Source organism: Homo sapiens, chromosome 5 (genome assembly GCF_000001405.40).
Source record: "Homo sapiens chromosome 5, GRCh38.p14 Primary Assembly".
NCBI classification, from domain to species: Eukaryota; Metazoa; Chordata; class Mammalia; order Primates; family Hominidae; genus Homo; species Homo sapiens.
The window spans coordinates 28,333,540-28,340,604 of NC_000005.10; the positions used below are offsets into that span (position 1 = coordinate 28,333,540).

The following is a 7,065-nucleotide window of genomic DNA, read 5'->3' on the forward strand; positions in this document are numbered from 1 at the left end:
AGAGCCAGCTGAAACTAACATGGCTAGGAGAAGCTTGTTTATTGGGAGAAGATCTCTGTTTCCTCGGGCAATAGGCTGATCCATGGAGTGGTCTGAGCTCCCTGCTCAGCCTAGCATGGGTGGGGGACCAAAAGAGAGGGGCCAGCCTGGAAAAGCCCACCTACAGTTCTGCTGAGGGCAGGCACAAGCACTGGTGCTAAGGGACAATCCAGTGGGTGGTCACTGAGGGCCGAAAAGTGTGTGCAGGCATGGAGCTGGGAAACTTCCAGGGCCTCAAGTTCTCTGTCTGGGCAGAGTGGAGTGGTCCAGGCTTCAAATCCAGGACAGCAGGTATTTCAGGTGCATGGAAATATGCCTGGGCATGGACTGCAGACAGCCCTGCTGTACCTCTGTCTCTGCACAGTAACAGTGGAGCAGCTCAGGATGCTGATTCAGACAAGTGGGTGCTCAGAATACCTAGTTATCTGCCTGAGTGTGAAGTGAAGAGGGCACTGCTTCACTGTAATTTCTTCACAGGAAGGGTTGTACAGCTTAGGCTGCTGATCCAGGTGCATGGGTGCTCTGGCTGCTAAGTTAAATTAAAAATATGTTCTTCTTAATTTAATGTTTTAGCTTTCTGTGAAAAAAATTATAACAATAAAGTAAAATTAACAAATGTTTTCTCACTAAGGCCTTGGTGCTTTCAATGTCCATCTGTCTTAGATATTTTTCTTAAGTCTCAAAAACATATGTTGTTTTTCATTATATGTTAAATGTTTATTTCACTGTGAGATAATAAAACATAAAAACATGGAAAATACTACATGTGTTAATAATTAACTATAATTTTAAATGAGGAATATAGTGTTTTATTTGATATAGATATAATGCTAAACATTATTTTTATTTATTATTTTGCGGGTATCAATAACTTTGTAAAATAAGATTTTGTAAAGTCACACTTAAGTACTTACCACAATTTCATGATTATGGAATGGTAAAAGATCTATAATTCTTTTCATTTGTGCTATTTTTTTCTTAACTATATCACTGTACTCTAAATAACACCGTATTTCTCCTTTTTATATTCCTTTCTTAATTGTCATCATTAGACTATGATTTTTAATTGATGCACTAGATATTAAATTCTCTGAATCTCGAAATCACTCTTAATGTGGTTAAGTCAAGTGCACAAAAAGAATATGGATTGGTAAGTTTCATTAGCCTTTCTCTTTATGATTTATAGTCTTGTCTCTTGAATAATGCAGTTTGAGACAATATGTAAGGTCCTTCACAGTGAAGGTGCCTTTCCTCTCTTGCCACATATAAAGTATCACTTATTCCATTTATGAATATTAAAACACTGGCTTAAATTATAACAGCATCTTTCAGGGGTTATCGTTAGTACTTCAAGAACAAATTGAATATCTTTCATGGTAGATGATCACAATAAATGAGACAGTAACTTAAAAATTCAAGTGAAAATTCTCGGTAACATCTGTGACTTTTGACCCTAAATCAATTCTTTTACTCTAAAGGGTGAAAGCCAATACACAGATTGATGTTAAAAATTTATATTTAAGGTCACATTTTAAAATTGTATAAGGATTGTGTAGACAATTTAACAATAATATTTTCTAATTCTCATAAAATGTAGTTTCTGAATATATAATCTAAACCTCTTAATGTCTTGCCAGCAACATGGACGGAACTGGAGGTCATTATCTTAAGTGAAACAACTCAGAAACAGAAAATCAAATACAGGCATGTTCTCACTTATAAGTGGAAACTAAATAATGTGTACACATTGACATAAGAGTGTGGAATAATAGACACTGGAGGCTCAGAAGGATGGGAAAGTGGGAGGGGGCAGGGAGATAAAAAATTACTTCATAGATATACTGTACATTATTCAGGTGATAGTTACACTAAAAGCCCAGACTTCACCACTACCCAACATATCCATGTGACAAAATTGTACTTGTACCCCTTAAATGTATCTTAAAAGTCTTGCCTCTACTTCCTATTAACTGAATAATCCTGAACATAACTTTCATTTCTGCGAGCTTCAGTTTCCTTATTTTAAAAAGTTTATAAGTAAATAATTATACTTTGGGTTCCTTTGAGATTGGATGAGATCATAAAAAAAAAGAAATGTGGAGACTAATATATGTTGATTTTGGAATTTTAGAACAATAGAATAGTTACCAGTAACACCCTGGAAGTTTTGCATGATGGGGAAGAGTTTATTTGATGAAACTTGCAAACTCGGAGAAATTTGGATCCTTTAATTGAGAAGTATTAGTCAAAACATACCCAATGACTAAGTAAAAGACTTATTTTGCAACCAGGTCCATCATGTGCTATTTTAATTTCCATATTAAAGTTTATTTGTTTTCAATTTTAATACAGTACTCACTGTATAAGAAATAGGAATCTTATATGGAACAAAAACTCTCTGAGAAGCCCCTATCTTAAAGATTGATTATCTCAAAACCTGAAACAGAAATGTTCAAAACTACTACTGTCTCCTCAGTAGGTTATTTTCTGATAATGAACTAGACTTGCTTAAACTCTGTATTTTTCTTTGAACATAGCTTTCAAATTGCATAATTACTTAAGGTTCTAGATCATCTGGCTGCTTGTTAGTGTTTAAATGTGTTTGTAGACATATTATTTTGTTTACTTGGTAATTATTGTTGACATACTTGTCTACCTTTTGGCCAGCATTTACATAGTAACATTCTTTAGGAGACTACAAATAGTACCTTTTTCTATTGTATATGATTACCTTTAAATAAATAATTAACAACACACCAAATCTGTCTTTTTTATGTCTAGTGTTTAGGGACAAGAATAATTACTTTTTTCTGATATTGGTGATTGTGAGCTATGTTCTCTTGTGAATATTGCATTTTTTAGAAAGAAATGAGTGTCAATTAAAAGCAGTTGCCTGAGATATACTTGCCACATATGTGAGTATTTACTTCCTTTTTAGAATCAAGGGTAGAGATACATGTAGTAAAGTGACTGAAAATGTAACTAAATATACATGTATAGCATAATAATGTTTGCATGTTGTATGCCCCATGTATACCCAAATCATGAGGTAGAACAATCCCAGCATCCAATAAGACACTTTCTTGCCCCTAGAGCTAACTACTATCCTGAATTATCTCATCATCTATCAGCCTTGATTATTCTAGAATTTCCTATACCTGGAATGATATAGAACATACTTTTTTTTCTGTCATGGGCTTGTCTTATTCAGTAATTACGTCTGTGAGTTTCATTCATGTAAATATCAGGGAGTTTATTCTTTTGTACTGTTCCATAGTATTCCGTTATAATATTTATTCCAGTTTATTCATCCTCTATTTGTTAGGCAATTGGTTTTTTCAAGATTTTGACTATTATAAATAAATCTGTTGTCAATATTCTTGGTTTTGTGTGGACTCACTTCTCTTACGTATACACTGAGAAATGGCCAGTTGTCCAAAATGGTTTTCTACCTCTACCAGCAGTGTATGAGGGTTTGAGTTGCTCCTATATAACCCATATTTGGTATTTGCAGCCTTAATTATAGTTACTCTGGTGGCTGTATAATAATACATTTTTTGTATTTTTAATGTATAATTTCCCCACAAATAGTGAAGTTGACTTCCTTTTATTATATTTATTAACTAATAAAATACCCTTTTTCCTGAGAGCTCTTTGCTAAAGTTCTTTCCCACTGTTATTATTATTATTTTTCTTTTTTATTTGTGGATGTCCTTTGTATGTTTGGATAAGAGCCCTTCAAAAAATTTATATACAGCAAATAATTTTTCTATTTCTTGGTGTTTTCACTTTCTATATGATGCTTCTGGATGGACAGGAAATCCTAGTTAGAATAAAAGCCAATTTGTTAGTTTTCTTTTTTGGAATGCTTTAGTGTTTTTGACTCCTATATTAAAGATCTTTGCCTATTGTGACATCATGTAGATAACTTTCTGTGTTTTCCTTTCAAGGCTTTAGACTGTTTTTTCTTTTCACAGTTGTGTCAGTTTCATTGAATGTTGTAAAATAGGTGTCAGGTTTCCTTTTTATTCATTATGGATATCAAACTGCTTGATTCAATATCTCTTACTGACTGCTTGCTTCAACATCATTTACGTAGTTTAATTCCATTGACATCTTTTATACAAATCAAGTGAACAAATAAATAAAGCAAGCAATATATATTTTATATAAAATGTTTCTGATAAGAGCACATGGAAAGTGATTTAGGAAATTAAATGAGGTAACATTTATCATAACTATAAAATTAAGAATTCTAAAATGAAAATATCAATAAATACTGATTCTATCATCTTAAGTGAAATAATAGGTGAATTTAATGCCTAGATAATAGGTGGTTAAATTTGTACCCACCACTAATAAGAAAATAGCAACCTAAAAGCAGACTTGATGCTACATGAACTGAGAAGAATCTATGGATAAAAATCCAACTTCCGCTTCTGATTAAAAAAGGATGCAAAGCACACAAATGTGCACATACACATGCCTTGCTCTAACAAAAAAATGATAACTCAAGTGTGTAAAATAATACTATTCCTACATTCCTATTCATCTTCCTCATTCTACATACTTTAACACTGCCTAACTTTCCCAGTTTATGACTATCTTTTTCTGGTCCATATCTTTAAAATATGTTATTGTGGACTAAATTATGTTCCCCCAAAATTCGTATGTTGAATCCCTAACCCCAATATGACTAATTTGTAGATAAGGCTGTTAAAGAGAGAATTAAGGTTAAGAGATGTCATAAGAGCATAATGCAATAATACTGGTGCTCCTATAAGAAGAGGAAGATATATCAGGGCTATACATGCCGAGAAAAGGCCACATGAAGGTGCACTGAGCAGGCGGCCATCTGCAAGTCCAAGAGAGGGACCTCGGGAGAAATCAACTCTGCTGGCTCCTTGATCTTAGATTTCCATCATCCTGAACCGTAAGAAAATAAATTTCTGTTTTTTAAGTCACCCAGTATGTGGTATTTTCTTACAGCAGCCCAAGCATCTAACAAGTGTCAATCTTGTTTCTCTGTTTTATTTATGTACAATATTTTATTATTTTACTTGAGAGTATTATTATTGGGCACTAACATGTCTATGGCTCAGTTCCCCTGCCTCCAAACATAGAGTCAAATCTCGATTATCTTCTTGAAGAGAAGTCATGATTCTTATCACATTTAAAATAGGTTAAACGTGATAATTTGGCTGTCAATAAATTCTTATGAAATAGTTTGAGTAACAAATACTCTTTTAAAGGCAGGATTATATGCAAATTAAAATCTATTCGTTATTACGGTGTATGTACAGCACTGCATTTGAAATAAATGTAGAATCTATTTCATTTTGTAAATTGAAAACTTTTTGTAAATTGAAAACTATCAGCCACTTAAAATCACTGTCAAAATACTACAGATAGAACAATAAGAATGCTCTGTGTCTTTTAAAACAATTTTTAAACAAATTTTCTTTGACAACTCATACTCAAGATTTACTCTGGGGTCAAACTTAAGACTTTTTAAATCATTTTTTTAGGCTCTATAAGCACAGGCACATGTTTTAGTTAACTTTCTGTTATACTGATGGGGTATGTAATGAAAGATTGATTATTAGTGAATAGGAGCAATCTTAAGTTGACATAAAGTTGATGTTTCATTTCAGAAGAATGCCATGGAAAATCTGAAATATTTGTCCACCAAAGCTTGCCAGGTACTCTATTTCAAAATGACAAAATCATCTGGGTTTTGTTGTATATTTTACAAACATTGAAAAACGTATAGGCTAGTTAAACATTCCCCTCCATGCCAATTCTATTCATTTCCTACATAATCTAAATGTGAAAACAAAAAGAGCAAAATGTTACTATGACTTCATAAAGTATCATAGGGTAAGTGCTGCATACTATCCTATTTTTAATGTTTAAGAATAAATTAATTGACTTACCCTTGATAAAGCTGAACGGTTATGAGAGAGCAATAGACAGAAAGAGCATGAAGCTGCTGTCCTTCACAATGACTGGATTCTGTCTCACCACAAAGGACATGAGAAGAATTTACTGTGCAGTGCAAGCTTGTTTATGGATCTGTTAAGTATCACGGCTGAACCTGGTAAAGATGCAGATTGATGTGTATGTGTTAAAGCTAGTCTATCCTCAGGAGCTAGACAAACCAGAAGTAATTTCTTGACATGATCAAAATGAATTGTAGTTGAGACGGAAGGTCTGAGGTCAGAGCAAATGAAGTATGCCCTACAGGAGACCAAGGAATGATCGAGGAGTTCATGTGGATTTCACAACCAAATCTCTCTGTTGACATGCTCCCTTCTTTCTCTCTCTCTCTCTCTCACACACACATACACAATATACATCAAAACCTATTAAAGAGGAGGAGATTTAGAGCAAGGCAAATTTTGGGGAGAACTGTTTTATTTAGGGAAATTACTATATAATTTAAGGACTCTCATGGAGTAAACAATTATACACAACTAAACCTCATGGCCATTTAAAACATATCTCCACACTCTGCTCCCTCATCAGCAACTTATTAAGAGAGGAGGGTAATTTAAGAGTGTTTGCATACATCACATACTTAAACACAAATATAATAAAAATGATACATAAAATTGCCCAATAACTAGGAAGAACAGCTGAAAAGAGCTATACTATGCTAATACAACAAATAGGTCCCCAAATCTCAGTGGTTTTCAAGAAAATTTATTTGTTACTATTCTTACATGTACATATTGCAATAACAAATGGTGTTTCATTTCAATGTATTCTTCTATATTTTAAGATGCAAAGAAAAGAGAATGTGATAAAACACTCTCTACTTTTTAAATCTTTAGTATGAAAATAACATATGTCAGTTCCACTCTCATCACATTAAATAAAGCAACTCACATAGACATGTCAAGTTTAACCAGGAAATATGTATAATGTTTTGCATTAACTGATACCACAGATAGGGTAACGAAGATAGTTGAACACGAATATATCTTGCCATCTAAGTATAGCAAAATGATAAGCTCAGGAGCT

The 7,065-nt window shown here is 33.3% G+C and overlaps 1 annotated feature.

Moving 5' to 3' along the window:
- Positions 217-717: an enhancer, noted in NCBI's record as "H3K27ac hESC enhancer chr5:28333863-28334363 (GRCh37/hg19 assembly coordinates)". NCBI's record gives its function as "activates a minimal SCP1, AML or CMV promoter by ChIP-STARR-seq in primed H9 embryonic stem cells {active_cell/tissue: H9 hESC(primed)}" and the evidence as "EXISTENCE:reporter gene assay evidence [ECO:0000049][PMID:30033119]".